Consider the following 22,940-nt stretch of genomic DNA (forward strand, 5'->3'; position numbering starts at 1 on the left):
TGCTTCCCCAAATATTAGTACATCAGCAGCAGCTGTGAACCTTGACTGTCAACAAAAATCTCAAGCCCATGGAGTAGACGAAGAAAGACAGCACCACAACTACTCTACTCACAACTTTTGCACAGTACTTTACAGAGCAAAAAGAAAACTACATGCACACACTCCCCACAGGTGTACATATCCCTCATCAAAATGAAATTTTTTCTTTCTGTAACCAAGCAACAACTTGACCCTCTAATTCCATACCCTGCTTGTTTTCAAAATGACAAATTTTCCATGTTACATTCGAAAGAAAAACTCTGAAATATACCTCCTAGTCCTTATTCTGCCAAAACTTACTTTGATAGAATGAACCAAATCCTTTGTTGTTCTTCCATCCCTTTAAATGAAAAAACTCAACACAACTTTATTCTTACTGATAGTTACATTACTTAAAGCTATTGCCTTCCAAGGACACATTCTGCTGTTTGGCCAAAGTAAGACATTTTACTTAGACAATAAAGACTGCCAACAAGGCCGGACGCGGTGGCTCACGCCTGTAATCCCAGCACTTTGGGAGGCTGAGGGAGGCAGATTACTTGAGGTCAGGAGTTTGTGACCAGCCTGGCCAACATGGTGAAATCCCGACTCTACTAAAAATACAAAAATCAGCTGGGCATGGTGGTGCACGCCTGTAATCCCAGCTACTCGGGAGGCTGAGGCAACAGAATCGCTTGAACCTGGGAGGTGGAGGTTGCAGTGAACCAAGATTGCGCCATTGCACTCCAGCCTGGGGGACAAGAGCGAGACTTCATTTAAAAAAAAAAAAAAAAAAAAAACAGACTGCCAACAAGTCCTTTTTTTTTTTTCTCCTTTTAAGCCTAAAGATAAATGCTTATGATCTTAGAAGGAAAGAAATAAAACACGGTAATGGGAAAATCAGTTCAGAGGTAGGAAGGAAGCTGGGTTTGCAAAAACAAAACGGAAGTATCAGTGAAGCATGGCCTAGAAGTCCAAGAGCAGGGGTAGAGTTTTAAAGGGACTGCTATTTAGATCACAGCTATCCCTCAGAGCGCCCCCATGCCAGGAAACTACGCAACTGCTCCTGCATTTGGTAACTCACTTAATCTTGGTAATTACCCTATGGGGTAGGTGCTACTGTCATCCCCTAATCCCACTCACCTGTTTTCTCTTTTTCAAGGTGGAATAATTAGTATCCACACAAAGGGAGGCTGGGAAGGTTGACACGGGGAGGGGGCGGCTTCTGGCGGACCAATTCCTAGGGCACATGGGAGCTCCACGGATGGGGGCTATGACAACTCTAATGTTGTCATTGGAAAAGCTTACTGTAATAATAAACCCAAAAAGCCGACTTCTGAAAGCCAAAGAGCTGAGAAAGACAACTATGTGAGAATGGAGTGTGTACCTGTATCTGCAGGCTGCATGGGGCCTGGATGCCCTTTCTCCATCTGGTGGTCCATCCTTTATTCTCTCCATACCAGACCAAGACGCAGATCAATGTTAAGACCCTCTTTCCTAAACCGAAAGCAACCTTTTTATTTTCACTCACTAATCCATAGAGGCCTTTCAAATGGCACAAATAACGGTGGCTGCATTTTGTTCTCTAAATCAATTTTCTCCCCAGCCATCAACTAGATGTTCCCACACAGAGAAAGAACAGCCCTTCCCTTCTAATTCAAAAATCCATACTGCCATTGCCCTTGCAAACTGCTAAACAAGCAGTATCAGCAAGTCACTTGTGTTCTGTAATACATTTACTGCAAATCCCAATGGCTTGCCTTCTAATGCAGTTTTCTATTGTGTCTGTGCGTGTCAATACACTGGCTGGCCACTGTACTTATAAGAAGCTCTGACCAGCTGTTTGCTCAAGGCATCAAGAGGGCACCAAGAGGAAACAAAGACTATGCTCCTGAGGAGCAACCGGAAGGCCACAGCATTGAAGGGCCTGGTTCCACACACTGGGGTCCTCAATGAGGTTTTGTTTCTGGTCCTTACCCCCTTACCACCCAAGGTCCCTGAGGCCAACTGAAAATCTCCATCACGACAATTCCATACACACAAAGTTCAAAATCAGAGTCCTTTTGCAAAATTATTTCTATTTTCTTACCTATCGTTGCTAACAATATTTCCCCCAGCAAATATACTGGTTACATCTTAAAGGTAAAGTATAAGTCAAGTTTCATTGAGGGGTCAGAACAAAGAGAGGAGGACTTTGTAAGGGGAGTCCAGCTTTTCTGCGTTAAATAAAATCTCAAGTGACAGTTGAGAAAGAAATCACCTAAAAACCGTGTAATGGTGGATCACCTAATACAACCACGCCAAAAGTACAAAGGGCAAGTCTAGGAGGAAAACCCTATAAAAACAGGTGAAGACAGAATTCTTAAAATGTACATGGACGCCAGGTGTGGTGGCTCACACCTGTAATCCCAGCCCTTTGGGAGGCTGAGGTGGGAGGATCACTTGAGTCCAGGAATTCGAGACCATCCTGGACAACATAGTGAGACCTCATCTCTACTGAAAAAAATCAAAAAATAAATTTTAAAAAAAGTACATGGAAATCCCTGCTTCATGTTATCAGTCTAAGCCAAGGTCGGTAGCTAAAGAAAGGCCTGATCCTCTATCAAGTCCTTCCAAATTCCCCATATTATTAATTTATTTCTTGATTTTGGGGGAAGGAGGAGCCTATGGAAGATATATGACAGATAGATATTACAAAATGTTAATTTATAGACTCCAGGTATCATACAGGTGGGTATAATATGGGTATTGCTGTGTATTTCTCTTTTATTCTGTAATTTGAAATTTTTCATAATAAAATGTTTGGGAGAATGGAAGACACTATGTAAAGACTAAGTAAATAATCAGTGGTTATACTCATTATTACTAAGAAATCTGGTGACAAGTCAAGTTTAATGCCTTGAGAGAAGCTTGTCATGCAATTCATCTACACTCTATTGGCAGCTGCAGTTCCAGGGACAGTAATGCCTGCACATGCTCAATTCACACCAAACCTAGGCCCCAGCAACATGCTAGTTTTGTTTATCTCTCTTTTTTAGTCCAAACCCAAACATATTACTACAATAAAACTCCTCACTAAGAACTCTCAGTGGTTACTGACTACAGATCACTCTTCCAAAAGAAAAACTGAGCAAAACTGGTTAGATAAGGTTATTAGAACTGAAAAGATTTCATTTTTAATTTTAGCATAAGGACTCACACTAGTTTTTTTTTGTTTTTTTTTTTGAGACGGAGTCTCGCTCTGTCGCCAGGCTGGAGTGCAGTGGCATGATCTCAGCTCACCACAACCTCCAACCCCCTGGTTCAAGTGATTTTCCTGCCTCAGCCTCCCGAGTAGCTGGGATGACAGGTGCCTGCCACCACGCCCAGCTAATTTTCGTATTTTCAGCAGAGACGGGGTTTCACCATGTTGGCCAGGATGGTCTCGATCTCCTGACCTCGTGATCCGCCCGCCTCAGCCTCCCAAAGTGCTGGGATTACGGGCGTGAGCCACCACACCAGGCCGACCCACACTAGTTTTCTTGATTCGAGTTTTTAATCTGAATTCCATGGACTTGTTGAAGGATCTTGAGATGCACACAAACAGCCAAAATCGTTGGGCAAAGCTATCCTGGGTATTTGTGTGTAAAAACATGTACAAACTTTTCTTGCAAAGTAGCTTTCACCTGATTTTCAAACGTTCAGGGTCCAAAATGGATACAACTACCACTACACATAAGGAGTACCCAAAACACAATATAATCAATGCCTACTCTGGATAACTCATCGGGAAGGGTAGATGGAAGTCCCTAACTCAGCTTCAAGCAGACTGCAACCTAGTCGGAGCAAGGAAAGAAGCACATGAAAAACCATTATTACAGGACACTGAGCAAAACAAGTGCTGTGACAGCCTGCCACTGGGTAGTCCCAGGCCGCCTTGAAGTAAACAGGTGGTGGTGTTTGAACTGGGACTTGAAGGAGACTGAGGAAGGCCATCTGAAGGTTGATACAAAAGCCTGGACTTTTTATAAAGAAAACAGGAAAACTCAAAACATACTTTCAGCAAGAAGAGGCCTATTTGGCAGGATAAAAGGAAATGCAGGAAGAGAAAGAAGCAGTGGCCAAGACAGGAAGGGAAAGTACTCAGGGGTAGACACAGCAGGCTATGAGGGACAAAGAGGTCATCACAGGGGGAAGTCAAAATTTAAAAGAACACACATGCAGGATAGGATGGATGTAATCCCAAGACCCTGAAGACAATTTACATCTGCTATCTTAAAGATGCTCCCTTTCCAGGGCTGGAGTTCCCAGGGTGCGGCCAGGTTTGACATATGGGCTAGCAGTCTCTGAGCAGTGGGGACACTGGGCAAGTCAATGGAATGTGTGCTGACATTTCATTTTACCACTGTTTAAAATGTTCATTTATTTTAAATGTATACAACAGTGTAATACAACAATGTATGTATGTAACTTACAAATTTGGCCGGGCATGGTGGCTCACGCCTATAATCCCAACACTTTGGGAGGCCAAAATGGACGGATCACTTGAGGCCAGGAGTTCAAGACCAGCCTGGACAACATGGAGAAACCCCGTCTCTACCAAAATGTAACAATTAGCTGGGTCCGTGGTGGCACGTGCCTGTAGTCCCAGCTACTCGTGGGACTGAGGCAGGAGAATAGCTTGAACCCCAGAGGCAGAGGTTGCAGTGAGCTGAGATTGTGCCACTGCACTCCAGCCTGGGAGACAGAACGAGACTCGTCTTCCCCCCCCCAAAAAAAAGACCTTACAAATTTAAAAGTAAACAACTCAGGCCGGGCGCAGTGGCTCACACCTGTAATCCCAGCACTTTGGGAGGCTGAGGTGGGCAGATCATGAGGTCAGGAGATCGAGACCATCCTGGCTAACATGATGAAATCCTGTCTCTACTAAAAATACGAAAAATTAGCCGGGCATCGTGGCAGACGCCTGTAATTCCAGCTACTCAGCAGGCTGAGGCAGGAAAATGGTGTGAACCCGGGAGGCGGAGCTTGCAGTGAGCTGAGATCATGCCACTGCACCCCAGCCTGGGTAACAGAGCGAGACTCCATCTCAAAAAAAAAAAAAAAAAAAAGTAAACAACTCAGGTAAACGCACTCAAGCTTTTCACCAAGAGGTTGTACGTATACCTAGACTAGTATCATAGACTAGTAACCTACTTAGATCAGTCATGGTGCTAATACCAAACCCAGTCTCATGGTACATGTATTTCAGTAGTTTGACAAACTGCAAGATTTGGACGCGCAAGTTCAAACACACCTACATTCTCAAAGACTGATTCCACTTCATCTAATGGATAATGAATATCCATTAGTACACTGGGAATAGATTTCAGGGATGATCAGCAAGCTACATATACAACTCTATCCCTTCCAGCGTACAGTGGTGTATATCTAGCATACTTAATTTTTTCTCTATTTGGAAGATGAAAAAGTTAATTCAACGGATAGAATTTTCAGAATTTGTTTTTTCCTCCCAGCTTTTTCCTTCTACCCAAAGTGACTTGTATCCTACTCTTTTTCTGCTAACATATTTTGTGGTCAAAGAATGACTAAGCAGCAAATACTACTATAAGAAAAACTAAAATAAATAGCTGTTTTTTATACCTACTATGAGACCTTACAGGGGAGGGGATAAACAATTGTGCCCACCATTATGATTTTTATATTGCTTCAAAGAAGGTAAATAGAATACAATTTATTGTTTGTGTGTTCTGAGACAAGGTCTTGCTTGTGTCATACAGTCTAGAGTACAGAGGTGTGATCACAGCTCACTATAACCTCCCCACTCCTGGGATCAAAAGATCCTCCTGCCTCACTCAGCACTAGTACTAGCTAGTACTACAGGTCTGTACCACCAGGCCCAATTAATTTTTTTTAAATCTTTTATTGTAGAGATAGGGTCTCGCTATGTTGGCCAGGCTGGTCTCTAACTCCTGGGCTCAAGTGATCCTCTGGAGCTGGGATTATAGGCATGAGCCACATGCCTGGCTTGCAACTTAGTAATTATTAAAAATTTAGGGGCTGGGAGCAGTGGCTCACGCCTGTTAATTCCAGCACTTTGGGAGGCTGAGGCACGTGGCTCACTTGAAACCACAAGTTCAATACCAGCCTGGCCAACATGGCAAAACTCCGTCTATACTAAAAACACAAAAAATAGCTGAGTGTGGTGGCACGTGCCTGTAATCCCGGATACTTGGAAGGCTGAGGCAGGGGAACTGCTTGAACCTACATACCTGTAATCCCGGCTACTCAGGGAGGTAGAGGTTGCAGTGAGCCGAGATCGAGCCACTGCACTCCAGCCTGGATGACAGAGCAAGACTCCATCTCAAAGAAAAAAAAAATTAGGGGCTGGGACCAGTGTCTCACACCTGTAATGCCAACACTTTGGGAGGCTGAGGAAGGTGGATCACCTGAGGCTAGGAGTTTGAGACCAGCCTGGACAACATGCAGAAACCCCATCTCTACCAAAAAATAATTTAAAAAAAATTAACCAGGCGTGGTGATGCACGCCTGTAATCCCAGCTATTCCAGAGGCTGAGGCAGGAGAATCACCTGAACCCAGGAGGCGGAGGCTGCAGTGAACCAAGATTGCGCTACTATACTCCAGTCTGGGTAACAGATTAAGACTCTATCGCCATTAAAAAAATTAAATGTTAAATAATGAAACATGTAATTTTGCTAAATCACAGGTTATTTGATAAAATCATATATCAACACTTCCTGGATTTTCATTAAAAAATATTACGGTGACTGGGTAGTCTACAAACAATAATTTTAAAAATTTTTCTTCACTTTTTTTTCTTTTTTTTTCCCCTGTGGACCCTGCTCAGGAAGAAACACAAGCAGCAAATCTGAAATCATTCCTTTGCAAACAATTTTAGAAACCATACTTTTGTTAAATCAGGTGAATGGCAATACATGAATATCTTAATTTATGTTAAAATTTCAGTGCAAATTTATTTCACTTTTCAGATCAAACCACACCTCACGGGGAAAAAAAATCAGAAAACCTCTCTCCTCCTGCCCACACCTGCGCATCCTAGTTCCACTTAAAACATCACACCGTATTCACAGAACAATCCTCTGGTGAGGAGTATTTTGAAGGTACAGATGCCTATTCTTGTCAAATAAGCCCACCGACAGAAACAGCTGTCTAAAATTTACTTAAAAACCACTATACTAAATACCCTGTAGTAAAGGTACTAGTTGTGAGAATTTCCATTTTTAAAAATCAGAGGCAACAATAAGCAATGGGGAGGGGAGAGGGTAGGAAACGAAATCAATCAAAGCTTTGAGGAAAGCCAGTAAGTTTCTCAGTTTCCTCCCCTTTAATCCACTTCTGGAGACCACAAAAGGTTTAATAATAAAACAGCAAAGACTCAGATCCATGGAAACTTAAAATGGTTCCATGAGCCAGTAACTGAATATATTTTTAGTTTAACTACCACTCAAGATGATTTATTTAAATATTTACTAAAGAAACAGATTTTCTTTCTGTTTCTTAATAAACACTATTTGGGAGAACATCTTAAGTCCTCTGGCGAAGGACGCTCCTCAATTTGCACGCACGAGGTGCTGGGTTCTGCGGGTGTATGCTGGGATGGCTCCCACCATGCGAGGGAACAAACAGACTTTTGTCTAGTCTAACCCTCATTATACAGAGAGGGGAACTGAAGCCAGGGAACGTGTTCATGACTTGCCCAGTCCCGAATGGAAATCCCCAATTAAATGACTTCAATGAACTACAACGGAACCAAGTCAGAGCCTATAGTTCATGGCCACTCCCCACAGGACAGGTAACCAAAGGCAGAAAGAGGGGGAGGCAAGGGAGGTGCTGTGGCCCTGCAATGGCCTGACTCTACCTCCTGTCCTCACCCTATTCCCAACTCCCCCTGTTGGATCCTGCCCTAATACAAAATTTGGACATGTTGTTCCTTGAAGATTTTGGGGGCATTCCGTTTGAATTTTCAAAATATTGATCATGATAACTATGTTTTGTGATTTTCTTAAAATCCATGCCCAGGGACTCCCTTGCCTTACTCCAGTGCAAGTCCAGGACAAAAACCAGCCACTGGCCCACTGCTGAAGGGTGGGGAAGGTGACTGAGAGGTGAGAGATCAGTCCTGCTTGCTGATAAGAAACAAAGGCTAATCTTGCACCTCGGAATCTAGGCTCTAAATGCAGAGAGCTTTCTCTCTTTTAACTTATGCTTGCAAAGAACAGGCCTGGCTAATGAAGTTGAGGACCACTCCAATCTTGATGACAGCTACCCTCTTTGTATGACAAGATTATTAACACCTGCTGGAGCTTAACTCTAAGTGCCTATACTCTAGCTAGTCATTTCCCTGTGTGAGATGTTGACTTAGGGGGAAAAAAAATCTCAAAGTGAGAAACTGTAGACAAAAACACACAGGGTTAAAAAAAAAAAACAAAAAAAACACTAAGGTAAAATTTGCAAAAGAGTAAAAGAATCACATCTAAGGAAATATCCCACAGGTGAGTCCCTAACAGTCCCATCTAAATACTTTTTTAAAAACCCACTAAAGAACAACGCATTTTTCTAAGAGAAATTTTAAAGCACACATCAAAACTGTAAAAGCAGTTTCACTCCAAAATTTACATGGCCTGAGATGTTGCTTGCTGAAATATCACATGGAGCTCTTTCCCTTTCCCAACCAGGATTGCAGAATATATCATCCTTCCTTTCAGATTTTCAGAGCTAGTCTTTTCATTTATTTTTAAATGCTTCACCATCGGCCGGGCACAGTGGTTTATGCCTGTAATCCCAGCACTTTGCGAAGCCGAGGCGGGGGGAATCACTTGAGGTCAGGAGTTCGAGACCAGCCTAGCCAATATAGTGAAACCCCATCTCTACTAAAAATAAAAAATTAGCCAGGCATGGTGGTGGACTCCTGTAATCCCAACTACTGAGGAGGCTGAGGCAGGAGAATCGCTTGAACCTGGGAGGCGGAGGTTGCAGTGAGCCGAGACTGTGCCACCACACTCCAGCCTGGGTGACGGAACGAGATTCCGTCGCGCAAAAAAAAAAAAGAAAAAAAATTCTTCACCATCCTGGAGAGCCCAGTGCTCTCACTCTGCCCATTCTTCAGCAGAACACAGGCACAAAGTGACTGATCAAACTCCCTCCCCATCACTGGGTCTCCACCAGGATTCCTGACTTGTTTCTTCTTAAACATACTTTAACCTGAGGACAGTACTGCTCAGTAGTTTTATCTACCCATGGCCTGTGACCCTCCTCTCCCCAGAAAGACCAGTCAGCGGCACTGCTGATTCTCCTAACTTTTAGAACATACATTCAGTCCTGACATGTCTTACAAATCATGAAGTTCATCAGCACAAAGAGTCAGAACTGAAGAGGCAGGCACTAGGGAGACATGGTCCACCTCATCTTCCTGATGGCAGCATGAGGGGATAGGAAGAAGCACAGACAGGCCGGGTGTGGTAGCTCATGCCTGTAATCCTAGCACTTTGGGAGGCCAAGGTGGGTGGATCACTTGAGGTCAGGAGTTCGAAACCAGCCTGCGAACATGGGTGAAACCCTCTCTCTACTACAAAAAAAAGAAAAAAAAAGTTAGCCGGGCATGGTGGCGGACACCTGTAATCCCAGCTACTCCGGAGGCTGAGGCAGGAGAATTGCTTGAACCCAGGAGGCAAAGGCTGCAGTAAGCAGAGATCGACCACTGCACTCCAGCCTGGGGAACAAAGCGAGATTCCATCTCAAAAAAAAAAAAAAAGCAGCAGCAGCAGCACAGACAACCCTGGAGGAGGCAACCCAACTCAAGCTTCAATAGATGCGTGGCCTTGAGCAAGTCCCAGACTCTGAACACGTGCACACAGCTGTAGGCAGAGCAAAACACCTACCCAATCTACTCTGGAGGATGCCTATGGAGGTCACAGAAGACAAATCACATTGAAAACTGTTCATTACTGTGCAAATTAAAGCCACCAATGACAATTTATAGCATGGCTTCATCAGCATGCTGAAAAGATAACATGAGTGGGCTAAAATAAGGTTTATGTGTGCATTTACAGTACATCTTGTTCCCAAAAATATCAAATGAGGTAATATCAAACCATATGACAGACAAAAACATTTAAAGATCACGCCACCACACACACTAGGCACAGCTAGGCAAACCACCAGGCTCACATCAACTTGCTGTTTTTTAATGCACCCTAACACTCTGATGGTATCAGAACTGCCTCAATTTTCCATGAGACATTGTCTACCTCTACTGTATAGAGATATCTAGAGTTTACCATCCACACAGATAAAGATGGGCAGACAGGGATCTATAAAGGGCTCCAAGAAAAAAATATTCTTAGTGCTACCATGAAAGACTTAAGTATCTATTACCATTCCTGTTTCATTGCCTTTTCGGTAACCCGCCACAAACGGGAGCAGAGAAAGTAAAGGCAAGGCTTATCAGGAAGTGTTGACACAACCTAAACACGGGCTGTGGGCACCACACCAGGAAAGGAAACCACAATTATACCATTCTTGATTTGGATGCACTTTCACTTTAAAACTTCCAGACAGGAAAGTCAGCAGTGAGATTTGACACTGAAATCTCTAGAACTCACTCCGACAAACCCGTTGAAAGGTGGGAAGGGAGAGCGGTCGTCACACTGGAGACAAATCTTAACAGCATTAAAGCTCTCTGTACGGAAAGTTTCCCCATCACTGCATTTTTTTTTTTTTTTTAGTAACAAAGATGTTGTCAAAAATGACAATTTTTTGTGTCCCCTGATGATGCCTTGCTAGCATTTGGTTATAAGCCATAAAGCAGGAATAATTTCAGCCTGTCAGGAGTCTCGCTAATGCCCAGTTTCCCCCTAGAGAGAATTCCTGTCAAATCTAATGAGAGCTCCAAAGGCCCTCTCTACAATATAATGAGCACTTAGGCCATGCTGGTGATCAGGCGGCAAAAAGCATCAATTTGAGCTTGGCTACACCCTGGGGGCCAGACGTCACCAGTTTTAATAAGAATTATGATTACTAGCTGCACCAAATGCCTCCTCAGAACTTATTATTAATGTGTGACATTCAGAAGGATGTTTTTCAAATGTAAGTCCACTTTAAACTGAATTATAGCACTACTTTGCACAGCACTCTAGTTAAGGGTCTGTCAGCATTTCCAATATCAACTAAATTTCAGGAGGCTCAGTACCCTACTATGAAGAACATGGTGTCTCTCAGCTTTTCACGTTTTTCAAATTGCTAAGCCAATTATACACAGCATATTATTAATGCATACAGGCTCACGGACAGACAGTATATAGCCACAAATGCCTCACTCTGTATAGAAACTCATTAGAAAACTATTCTCACACCATGGTGCTTCTGACCCACTTCACCCCTTCTCCCTACATGATAAAGAAGAGGTCATCCCGCCACATAACCTACAGGAACCCAGAAGAATTACACACCTCTTTTAGCTCCTCCAATAAACCCAGCACCAGCATATAGCATCACACTGAGGTGGTGTTCCCTTGTAAAAGAGTCAATGAGGTTATTAAATCCTTTGAGTTTATGGGTTTAAGAAAAAGCTCAGTCTCCTCTTACTCTTCCATAATATCTGTTATCCAAAAAAAAGTGCCCTTCAGAGTAAATTAAAAAAAAAAAAAAAGATTAAACCGCCTAGGCCAAGTTTATTTGCATAATTCACTTAAATGACGATAGATGTTAGCCACAGATCTTCTAGCCCATTTACTATCAAGAAGTTACAAGTGCCTGAATAAGGCACTAGCCACTGAGAAACACACAAAAACAAAGGCACAAACCCAACATAAAGTAGGCTACCAACTTTGTAAATCATAGTAAAATCTGCATTTTTAAAGGCCCAATTACATTATTAATAAAAGGCCCTGAAAATCACAATCTCTTTCCAAACACAAATCTGAGAACAGATCTAATGTACACGATAACTTAACATTATGAAATCTATGATGAATTAAAAATCAAAGAGTGCGGAGTTACAAAAGCAGAATTCAACTCTGAAACACACTTGCTTAATGAAAGTCTTTGAATATAAGGAAGATCTGAAGGCTGAACTAATCAATTTCTCCACTGTGCCCCAGCCGGTCAGCCATGCTCTTTAATTTAATGAAACAAGGGTTTGAGATGAAATAGCACATATACATCAAGTAAGAATTGTATTGTTGCACTTTGAAATGTGTCCAACTGTGCAACTTCATCTGATGATAATTTTTTAAGAGGCAATCGATTTCTAAAAGACTTATTGTACCAGCGTCTTGATGAAAAAGTGAATGTCAGCGTATCTCCAGAATACTTACACCCTGCCATTAATGCTTTCTTTGGCAGACAATGACTACTCAATCGAGGGTCCTTTGGGCTGAGCAATCATTTAGCTTTTCTTCTCTTATGAGGTCCTTAGTGCCTTGTTCCAGCTCAATACTCTTTTTATACACCATTATAGTAGCCATAAGTGTGAATTTTATGGGAACTTGCAAACTCATAGTCATTGCTAGAGCTTTCCAGTCACTAATCTTTTCATGCTTTAAAAACCACTAGGACTGAAGCAACTCCCAACATATGCTCTGGCCATAAAAAGATGCTTTTTTCACATCCACACCTGCAACAACTGAGAAATTTTTCAAAAATTTGTTTGCTAATAAGCCACTAATCCTGACTATTGCTTCATGCAGCCCCAAAGCATAAAGAATACTCCACAGATAGTCATATACCTTGATTACCACGATTAAAAAAAACTCCTGAATACCCTTCTTTCCCCCCAACAGGTCCACACTTCCTTGCAAAACAGCACAAAAACATTAACTATTCTAAACTTCAGCAACTGTAGAAGATACCCAGCCCTTTCAAGAGGATAAATCTATACAGGTGAAAAAGTAAACTCAAGTCTTAATTCCTATCTGTCAATAAAGAGGCTAGTTTATATTTCCAAAACACCTCTCCCTCTCCTAGTCATTTAAACACTTGTAATTATCAAGAAGCAACCCTTGATGCAGAATACTACCATCAATCCACAGGACAGGAAACCAAGGCAGAAAAATAGCATACAAACCCCCACCCCTAGAGCCCACTACTGAGAACAAAGCCAGTATTATTAAATCATATGAACTGATGTCTCATTTCAGCTTGAAGTTCAACTAAAGCTTACCTGTTTGTGCATTTCAATGTTTAATCCATATGACATTTCATAATACTGTAAAGAGAAAAAAGAATCAAGCATTTCATTAACTCATGTTTTTTACACTCTGCTAACACGTTTGCTAATATCATATGAAAAAGGAAAAAGTCCAATCTTTGATACCTACCATCACATAGTGCCTCTGCATTTCTGTCTTTTCACTTGCCAGTTTCTCACATTCCAATTTAAGGCTAGGAAAACAAAACAGGCAACTTAATGTAAACATTATGTCACTTGTTTTAACATCTGCCTCACATATTTGCACTTCAAGTAAAAACACAGACCAATTTGGAAAAGCCATAAACTATCTAGGTAAACACCCAAAAGCTTTGTCCTTGCATTTAATAGGGAAAAGGAATAATGTGAACAATACAAGGTGTCCATTCAGCTACCATTCTTCTTGGTGCCTATCTGGTTAGATGACAAGAATGAAAAAAATCTGTCAGAACCTCTAACTGATTCCTCCTCATGGTCATCTGCTCCCTACCTTCCTGCATCAGTTTGTTTCTCTGTACTCCACCAAAATCCGGCCCTTGCACAATCTTCACTCTTAGGCATAGGCTGTGCCATCTTTGCCAACTCAAACGGTCTCTAGGTTTGAAAATCCTATCTGTTAAGTTACTCCTACAATTGCTGGTCCCTTTCAAAACCTTTGGTTTTTAAATCCCTGCCAAAATATGTCAAGTAGCTACTGCAATAAAGTGGGTTGAAGTTCTCCCTGCTGGGTAAACACGGTGTGTGCAAGTATGCCTCAAGCTGCAGAGATATTATCTACAAGTAGACAAAAGGTCAATAATGAGAAAGCCCCTGACAAAGTAAGAAAATTCACACCCAAGCCACTTCGCCTCATCTGTGTGCTTTTTCTCAAGCATGACAAAAGCAAAAAATGTCAATACAGTTATTTCTGAGTTAGAATCAGGTAAAACTTCATAGGAACAAGGGAAAGAAACTAACCTTTCTGGGAAGTTCACTATTGGCAAAGTATTTTACAAAAATTTATAAGTCCTTTGAAGGTAAGTCTCATTACTTGAAGAAACTAAGGCTGAGATGGATATAAATGTGACTCCACTCTCTCATCCTACCCAAACCAATCCGAAATGACGCCAAAGCAGGTGAGCTTTCTTCTTTATACTATTATACCCACCTCCCTCACCATCACCAATGATGGGCAATGTTATAAGCATCTAGCCTTCCTTAATGGACTTTGCCTCAGAAAACCCAATTTTCTAGTATGGCAAACAGCGATTTCAACATGGCTTTGCTTCCCTGAACCCACACTCCAGGACTGAGACATCGATTGAACCAATGTTTCAGCTCAGTCTGCTGAAAAATAAATACATGAAGTGCAAATATTGACGATTCTCATGCAACTCCTAAAGACATGAAAAAGGACTCCCTGGAACAGTGCAAACCGGCAAAAGGGAAACAATGGGAGGAGGAGGAGACAAGAGAAGAGGCGGCCCGGGAAGAACCAGGAAAGGGGGTAACTTGAATGACAGGTCTTAACTGAGACTCCACACGCCACCGCCTGGACGCAAGAACTAAGTACAGGCGCCGCCGCCACCCGGCTGGGTGCAAGGGGCACCGGGACGCCCGCGACCACTCGCATGGCGCGGCCGGACACGCACCTGTGATACTGCGCCTGCAGGAACTGGAATTCCTCTTTAATCCGGTCCAGGGACTCCGGGATAGTGAACTTGAAGGGCTGGCCTGCAGCCTGGTGCGGCGTCTGGGGGCGACCAGCGAGGGGGACCGAGGGACGGGAATGCGGGCGGATGAATAAAGCAGTAAGTCAGAGAAGGCAAGAACGGGTGGGACATAAACATAAAGTTAGAAGTGGCTGAAAACGAGGCCCCAAACTCGAGTTTGCCCTTCACTATGGGGAGGGGGAAAGCGGACCCTCCCCGGGCCCCGGCTTCTAAAGAGGCTCGGAAGCTCTTCCCAGTCTCCAGGGCGGATTGCGCTAAGTGCGCCCGGGTCACCAGGCCAAAGGGAAGGGGGCTCCCCGGCGGCCAGGGAAGACCAGGCCAGATTGTCGGTGTCGCCGCCCCTTCCCCCACGGCGGCGATAATGACCCCGGGGACCAGAGGAGAAAAACAACTCCTTTACGCTCCCCATTCCCAGAGTCGCCGGGGCCACCTCCAGACGCACCGGAACCGGGGCCGCATTGACATGTAAATAGGCGAGAGGAGAAACAAAGGGGGGGGCGCCCTGCCCCCACTCGGGGAAGGTAGAGGGGATATGGCTGCAGGAGAGAAACCCCAGCCTTCCCCAGCGCCCCTGTCCGCTCGGTATAGACGTCAAGTAGGAAGGAGCCCAAAGGGAGGGAGAAAATTAAGAGTTTCGGCCCACTCCCCACCCCAGGAAGAGAGGGCCCCAGACCTCCCCAGCCTTACACCGCTGAGGGCGAGAAGGTCCGCCGGGCCTCAGAAGCCACCAGTCTCCCTACCGCCCGGGAGAAGCGCCTCCCCAACGATCCTGGCCCCCCACCACCACCCAGCCGCGCCTCACCGGGTGCCGGCTCTGCGGGAACATCGCTCTGGCGGCGGCCGGGGCTCTGTTCCCCGGCAACTCAATTCTCCGGTCAATTTCCAACTTTAATCCCGCCGAGGAAAATTAAGCCGGAAAGCCAAGCAGAAGCGGGGAGCGCGCTGGCCACGCACGCGCGCTCCGCCGGGCGCACCGGCCACTCGGCGCCCGCAGCTGCTCCGGCTCCCGCTCCCGTCGGTGCGGGCTCCGGCCCTCAGGGCCACATTAGTGGGCGCCCCAGGCCCAGCTGCTTCAAGAACCTGCGCGGAGACGTCGGGCGCTCGGGGACTGTGCGCGGGGGCAGCGCTCCAACCCCCGGCCTCAGCTGCCCGGGCGGGGAGGCGGGGGCGCGGTGACTCCGACCGCACTCCCCTCGGCGATCCGCGTGCGCGGCGCCAGTCCTGGGCAAACAAATCCAGACGGACTGCTTTTCTTTGCTCTTCTCCTGGTCCGCCTCCTCTTCGGGCTTTCCCCGAGGCGGCGGCGGGCGAGGTGCAGGTGGCGCGGCGGCCCCCGCTAACCCCACACAAACCCGACGCTTTCGGGGCGACTCCCGCAAGATTCGGCTGCGCCTTCGGCCGGGTGCTCGCAGGCTCCCGGGACGCAAAGGGGAGCGAGGTTGAAGACGCAGCGGAGGCTCCTGGCCGGGGAGCGACGGATGACGAGGCGGGGAAAGTGCGGAGGGCGCGCCGGGAGGCGGCTCGGCACGCCCCGTGCGACCAGCACTCGGTGTTCTCCGCGGTTGCACAAACCCTCCGGGCCCGACGGGGCTACTCCACCGAGAGCAGTCCCGCAAGTGCCCAATGCTCCTCGAGCCCGGGGAGCATCAGGGCGCCGCGCCTCGGGCGCACTCGCCCTGCACGGCCGGACCGGCCGCTCCGGACCCTTCTTCCGAGCTCCTTCTTCCTCGGTCTTCTTTCTTTCCTTCCTTCACCTTCGTGTGCTTCTCCGCAAAGGGCGCTCCAGCCCACTGCAAAGTTCTCTCACCACCCGAGGGACGACATCCACGAGATGGTGGGGAAAACAGCAGGAGTGCGCTCCGCCAATCGGCCACCCTCCCCGGCGGGCAAACTCTGCGGGCGAGTCCAGAGTAGTCACAGCGGTGGGGCCAGCGGGGGTTTTGGTCGCCGCGGGACGACGGAGGTCCGGGCTGGTGGCGCGGGTCCCGCCCGGCCGTGCGAGGGTGGGGTGGCGCAGTCGGCTGCCTCCGGGACGCGGGGCACAGAGTACCCGCCGCTGTTTCTGCTGCTGCTGCTTCTGCAGCCGCCGCTCCCACCGCCGCCGCCGCCCGCGCCTCTCGCGCCGCTTACATTAACACGCGGTTTCACACTCCGGAGCTAACCAGCGCCGGCCCCGCCCAGCCCCGTTCGGGCGGGGGGCGCGAGCGCGGAGCCGGCGGGGGACGTGAGCCCGGGAGGTTGGGGGGTGGGGGGGGGGCAGAAGGCCCGCATCAGCCAATCGCGTGCGCTGCAACCAACGTGGGGCGCTGACGCGCTCCTCCCCGGAGCGTATGGCAGCGCAGCGCCGGACGGGGCGTTCTCCCTCCCCCCCTCCTCTCGCTTCCATCTCCGCCGTCTCCTCGGTCTCCCTTCCCATCCCGGCCCCTCCTCCGCCAGCCGCGTCCTCCCGGGCTTGGTGAGGAACTGTTCCTGGAGGAGCCGCGGGACGCCAAAACCAGCCAATGGGAAGCGGCGATTCGCGGAGATTGGCACTGATGATGGGAAGGTCGGTGGGAAGGAGAGCGGCGGGGCTGGGCTGTCAATCAAAGTAACGTGGGGCTGGCTAGAGAGCGCGCGGGCGCGCGCTAGCGGGAGGGACTGGCGAGCGTGCAGCCGGGGAAGCTGAGGGCTCGAGTTAGCAAAAATCCTGCCACTTGCTCACTTTTCCCTTTAATGAAAATCCTCAGATCTAAGTGAAAGTAACTCAAAGACTAGCTGCGGAGTTTCTTATTGGAGGCGGAGGGGGGCTTTTGGTAATTCGAGCAAATGTGTTTTTCAGTGCTGGACCCCTTGTTTGATGCTACTCTAAAAGTGAGGCCACATTCAAAAATTTATCTGAGGTTTGTTTTTCCTTGAGCTGCCTTTTTACGGATGTACGAGAGGGAGTGGACTGTGCACTTAGTTGGAAATGCGTAAATGAGCAACGCCACGGTTGGCGTAGGTACACCAGCAAAGACGACTGTGATGTCCTCCCACCCCACCCACCCCCTTTGCACCCAAAGTGGTAGGATTTGATTTTTATTGCAGGATTTCAAGCCACTTTTCAAAAAGATCGTCCTGTCCCGTTTGGCGGGAAGGATTCCCAGGGTGCTGCCAGAACAAGGCACGCGTGTCCGCAGATGAGACGTTTTGCCCGGGGCGCGAAATCCCAGGTCTTCGTCTTAAAAGTCCTGACTTCGCTGTGTTGGGAGAGGTGGGGAGCGGCTGAGGTTTTTAGGAACTTCTCAGCTACAAGACTACGAGTCTGTTTCCAATTCCTGGGAACAAAGAGAGACAATGTAATAAACCAGCACTGAGACCTGAAAAACCTGTCCCGCACACCCCACCCCCACAGTCTGGGTGGTACTCCTGAGCTGAGCTGTGTGAAGAGCTAAATGGGAAGAGTTAGGTAAATGACGTGGCTAAGGTTCTTATGAAGTGGAACTTGAGTTAAAAGGGATTTTGAGATTGTAATAATCAAGACATGCTGTATAATTAATGCTGAGAGTCTTTGGTTTTTGTGTATGTCTCTAAATACACAGCAGAAAACCGTCAGTATTGCCGCATTTATGCTTTTGTTTGAGGAACATTTCCACATGAGCAGTGAATGAATAATGCTGGTTTAGCCAAACGGTGGTAACTTCTTCCATAAGGGCACATCTTGGACAAGTATTTATCTTATGTTGGAAACTAGTTAAGTTTTTGGTATTAATAACCCCCACGTTATTATTTTATTATTTTACCTTCAAGAGACTTACGGGAAGGAGCTTATTTAAACAGACATACATTTTATTTAAAGATGTGCTTTTACAGAGTTCTTTTTCTTGAAATAGTTTTAGAAGTCATTTTAGATAATACATTTCACTGTTGGAGTTGTTTTTAAATATGTATGATATTGATTTGTCTATAATTGCATCACTCCCAAATATCAATTATAAATGAAAAAATAAAAAAGCGATTTTAACCAGTCTGTACGAAGCCATAGTAAATTCTTAAACAAGTTGGGCATTGTAGCTTTGTGGTGTTCTCATTAAGTACAGTTGGGAAGGCGGCTGTATTATTCATTTTGCTAACATGGAGAACAAAAAAGAAGAAAGCACTGCCTCACTTTCCTTGGTTAAATTTGGTGACGATGACAGTTTTGCTCGACATACAGGACTTTTTGGAATCATAGGATCCCAGGGCCTTTAGCAACCTGTTTTCCTTGAAATTATCTAGTGATTGAGCCACATATACCAGTCTGCGGCCAGTTCATCCCATAATCAGCTCCAGGACCGGACAGAAAGTGCTTGGATGCCACAAGTATGCTTGTATACATGCTGTGACAACTGGAGCAACTGATATTCCTCCCCGGCTTACCCAGGCTTTATGTGGTGCCTGTATCTTGAATAACTGGCACACTCCCATTAAGTTTAAACAGAGCCATTAAAATATGCTTTGAGATGGGGCAAAAGTGTTGCTACTTCTCTTCTTTCCCCACCCCGCTGCCCTCAAAATCAGTACTAAGGCATCTTTAAATGTTCTCTAACATAACTACTCACAGACAATGTGTCTGCTCACCATATTTCCCAGTTTGCCATGAGTAAACACTAGAAATTCTCTTTTAACTAGTCTTTCCTTGCCAATAGAGTTTGAAACACCAGGCCTTCTGATTTCCTTATAATGAAGTATCTGTAGTATCTACAGAGCATTATGAATTTAAAATTGGAAGGCCTTTAATTGTGTGCATAAAAATGGTTGGTTTTGGTTTTTGAAGCCTTTTTTTCCCATTTAGAGCATCGTCTGTCAGAGTGGGAGAAGGCTCTGCCCTTTTCAAGGTCATATTTTCTCCACGATTGTCATGCTGTAATAATTATACTACAAAACTCTCATCAAACTGCATTACAAATGACGGCGTTTAAACAGTCAAGTAGCTTTAATCTTATGTTTTAAATAAATAATATATGTGCAGATTGCCTACAGCCTGTTTAAAAGAAAATAGTCCTCCTCATGAAATCTATAATTTTGGTCTTCCATTTAAAGCCTGTTAACCATAATCTTCTTTACCTTTAACATTCATATGTCAATGATGTTTTTATGTGAAATGTATGATGCTCCCACTGGAAATTTTCTCTGAAAAACACAGTACCCTTTTTATGCTCTGCAGAGAAACAGAAAGATTGTCAGCTTGTTCATTTTCTTTTGATGCATATGTGGGTATATTCCCATTCATTTGTTGCTGATTATCAAATTTTCAACTCAGCAATAGCCTAAGTAATTACAAAAGCTAGATGTTATCTAGTACAGATACTAAACAAAATAGGAAAAGTTATAGATGCTGATCGTAGCAACTAGACATCTTTTAAATCTATTACTTTTTTATTTGAAATAATAATTGTAATTTTTTAATTTTTTTTGGAGACGGAGTCTCACTCTGTCTCCCAGGCTGAAGTGCAGTGGTGCCATCTCAGCTCACTGCAACCTCTGCCTCTTGGGTTCGAGATTCTCCTGCCTCAGCCTCCCCAGTAGCTGGGACTACAGGCGTGTGCCACCACACCCGGCTAATTTTTATATTTTTAGTATAGACGGGGTTTCGCCTTGTTGGCCAGGCTGGTCTCAAACTCCTGACCTCGTGATCCGCCCTCCTCAGCCTCCCAAAGTGCTGGGATTACAGGCATGCACCACCACACCTGGCCAATAATTATAGTTTTTAACAGACCACTTTTGTTGTGTTCTCTTCCTTTTAGCTGAGAATTATTGCTCATACATTTCCTCATTTGACTTTTTTTTTTTTTTTGAGTCAGCATCTCGCTCTGTCACCCAAGCTGGAGTGCAGTGGTGCGATCTCAGCTCGTTGCAACCTCCGCCTCCGAGGTTCAAGCGATTCATGTGCCTCAGTCTCCTGAGCAGCTGGGATAACAGGCGTGTACCACCACGCCCGGCTAATTTTTGTATTTTTAGCGGAGACAGGGTTTCACCATGTTGGCCAGGCTGGTCTCGAACTTCTAACATCAGGTGATCCGACCGCCTTGGCCTCCCAAAGTGCCGGGATTACAAGCGTGAGCCACCCCGCCCCACCTTTTTTTTTTTTTAATTGATAGTTTTCTTAAACCTAAGAATGTAGGGTCCAGAAGAATTTTTCCCAGCATTTCTTGGTAATCTTTTTCTCCCCCACTCCTTTACCAAAGAAAAGGGCAAGATGGACGTGGAGGTGAAAGGAAGAACGCAGAGAAGGGAAAAAAAATCAGTAGCAGATCCATGCAGCAGTAAAACCTCAAATAAAATCACTTCCAAAGAATCTCTTGCGGTTTCACACAATATGGTAAAATTAGAGATTGCAGGAAACCAACTAAATTAAACTGGGAGCATTTGAAGAGAAATGAGCAGACTTTATGAAAATGACACATTGACTGACCAGTATGCTTTTTTATCAACAATTTCTTTGTTAAGACGAAGATCAAAGGAACCTGCATATGTTTTCATTTTGTTCTAACTAGAAAATTACATCCAGATGTTTAATAGGCATTTGGTTGGTTTTTCAGCATTGATTAGATATGTTGGTTCTGTTTGCTTACAAGTGCAGCCGGATCATTAGCTAATGCAAAGAAATGTTTGCTGTGAGTTGCTAATTAGGGCTTTTGGAAGCCCTCCATGCTCAAGAACAATTTGTACTGTGGCCAGAAGAACTTGAGGGACTTGGGGAAGTTGTTTTCCCTTCTCTGTCAGAGTGGGGAGAAGCAGAAAGCCCTATTCCCTAATCTCCCTTTGCCTAGGGGGATTGCGATGAGATCCCCAAGGATTGGAGTGCAAATAAAGTAGGAAGAGACCACACAGGCACTCCCAAACATGGAGAGATAAATGTTCTCTTTCTGGAACCAGCACTGTGCGGTCTTTTGAGGTGGGGGGAGCGAACATCTAAAACACTGGATATTAACATGTGGAAGATGCTTGGTGCTAATGTTATCAAATACACAGCATTTTTAAGTATACTTTAGAGACAGATGGGAAAGCCCTTTATGATAAACGAGTGTACTTGAATTCGTTACTGTAGTACTTATAATTAAAAATGTCTCCTTTGCAATTTCAGTACTTTTACAGGATACGAGAGACCAAGCTTGGGAACTAGAAGGCTGGGGAGAGTGAAAGGAGTGAGGGAGAGGAATTTTGGAAGCTAGGGTGAGCCTGGGAGGAAATGCAGTGTTTACTTTCACAGCCCACCCATTCGTTTACCTTGTTAAAGCCCCAGAACTTGTACCAGATTAGCTATTCACTCAGTATTCAAATAAACTGTTTGGGAATTTGAGGAACCAGGCGGATAAACTTCTTAGCCCACCAATCACGTTTGTAAAAAAGCTTGACTGTGTCTGAGGCTTGCAGAAGAACACCACCTCAGCTGCGGCCGAACTTTTGTTTACTTAAGTCTATATTTCAAGAAAGATATCAGTCTAAAATAGCATGTGTTTATAAGCAATCATAGCAGTGCAGATATAAATCCCATTGTACGACGTTCTTCTGCCTGTTAATGCCCCTTACTAAGTCTGTTTACATCTTTTTTTCCCCTCCCCCCAAGACAGAGTCTTGCTCTGTCACCCAGGCTGGAGTGCAGTGGCACGATCTCAGCTCACTGCAACCTCCGCCTCCCAGGTTCAAGCAATTCTCCTACCTCAGCCTCCCGAGTAGCTGGGATTACAGGCGCCCACCACCACATCCAGCTAATTTTTGTATTTTTAGTAGAGACAGGGTTTCACCGTGTTGGCCAGGCTGTTCTCGAACTCCTGACCTCGTGATCTGCCTGCCTCGGCCTCCCAAAGTGCTAGGATTACAGGTGTGAGCCACCACGCCCGACCAAGTCTGTTTACAACTAATGCATATGTACGGCACACTCCTATGTATTAATGTTACCTGATTAATTTGGGATTTTCACACCAATAGGATATATTCATGATTAGTTTCTTTGAAGTAGTTCAAGCAGAGGGCCTTTCTGCCAGAGCTTTCCCTGTCTACC

At 45.4% G+C, this 22,940-nt stretch overlaps 1 protein-coding gene and 1 long non-coding RNA gene across 23 annotated transcripts in view, besides 7 other annotated features; one reads left to right on the forward strand and one right to left on the reverse strand.

Moving 5' to 3' along the window:
- Positions 1-17,071, reverse strand: part of TLE1 (TLE family member 1, transcriptional corepressor) — a 105,865-nt gene extending 88,794 nt beyond the window's left edge. For 21 of the 22 annotated variants that reach the window (XM_006717259.5, XM_047423817.1, XM_005252163.3 and 18 more), the window contains exons 1-4: positions 15,741-17,071; positions 14,858-14,958; positions 13,357-13,420; positions 13,200-13,244 (exon numbers count right to left, since the gene is read on the reverse strand). In XM_006717259.5, coding sequence (XP_006717322.1) covers positions 13,200-13,244; positions 13,357-13,420; positions 14,858-14,958; positions 15,741-15,764 — 234 coding nt within the window. In that variant the 5' untranslated portion in view covers positions 15,765-17,071. Of the gene's footprint in view, positions 1-1,405; positions 1,500-13,199; positions 13,245-13,356; positions 13,421-14,857; positions 14,959-15,740 lie in introns of those variants that run through there. The other variant, XM_006717261.3, reaches the window with a different exon arrangement.
- Positions 898-1,192: an enhancer, noted in NCBI's record as "tiled region #9381; HepG2 Activating non-DNase unmatched - State 14:Gen5'". NCBI's record gives its function as "activates a minimal TATA promoter and a strong SV40 promoter by Sharpr-MPRA in HepG2 cells {active_cell/tissue: HepG2}" and the evidence as "EXISTENCE:reporter gene assay evidence [ECO:0000049][PMID:27701403]".
- Positions 3,618-3,912: a silencer, noted in NCBI's record as "tiled region #7656; HepG2 Repressive non-DNase unmatched - State 17:Gen3'". NCBI's record gives its function as "represses a minimal TATA promoter and a strong SV40 promoter by Sharpr-MPRA in HepG2 cells {active_cell/tissue: HepG2}" and the evidence as "EXISTENCE:reporter gene assay evidence [ECO:0000049][PMID:27701403]".
- Positions 11,819-12,726: an enhancer, noted in NCBI's record as "VISTA enhancer hs556". NCBI's record gives its function as "enhancer in: neural tube[3/5] | hindbrain (rhombencephalon)[4/5] | midbrain (mesencephalon)[3/5]" and the evidence as "EXISTENCE:transgenic organism evidence [ECO:0001131][PMID:17130149]".
- Positions 16,382-17,096: an enhancer, noted in NCBI's record as "NANOG-H3K27ac-H3K4me1 hESC enhancer chr9:84303773-84304487 (GRCh37/hg19 assembly coordinates)". NCBI's record gives its function as "activates a minimal SCP1, AML or CMV promoter by ChIP-STARR-seq in primed H9 embryonic stem cells {active_cell/tissue: H9 hESC(primed)}" and the evidence as "EXISTENCE:reporter gene assay evidence [ECO:0000049][PMID:30033119]".
- Positions 16,382-17,318: a biological region, named in NCBI's record as "NANOG-H3K27ac-H3K4me1 hESC enhancer GRCh37_chr9:84303773-84304487".
- Positions 16,969-17,318: a silencer, noted in NCBI's record as "silent region_19975". NCBI's record gives its function as "represses an Ori minimal core promoter by ATAC-STARR-seq in GM12878 lymphoblastoid cells {active_cell/tissue: GM12878}" and the evidence as "EXISTENCE:reporter gene assay evidence [ECO:0000049][PMID:35858748]".
- TLE1-DT (TLE1 divergent transcript) overlaps positions 17,237-22,940 on the forward strand; it is an 87,188-nt gene continuing 81,484 nt past the window's right edge. Inside the window, exon 1 of the long non-coding RNA NR_109772.1 lies at positions 17,237-17,483. This is a non-coding gene — a long non-coding RNA (TLE1 divergent transcript). The remainder of the gene's footprint in view (positions 17,484-22,940) is intronic.
- Positions 17,469-17,618: a silencer, noted in NCBI's record as "silent region_19976". NCBI's record gives its function as "represses an Ori minimal core promoter by ATAC-STARR-seq in GM12878 lymphoblastoid cells {active_cell/tissue: GM12878}" and the evidence as "EXISTENCE:reporter gene assay evidence [ECO:0000049][PMID:35858748]".

This window comes from Homo sapiens, chromosome 9 (genome assembly GCF_000001405.40).
Source record: "Homo sapiens chromosome 9, GRCh38.p14 Primary Assembly".
Lineage (NCBI taxonomy): Eukaryota > Metazoa > Chordata > Mammalia > Primates > Hominidae > Homo > Homo sapiens.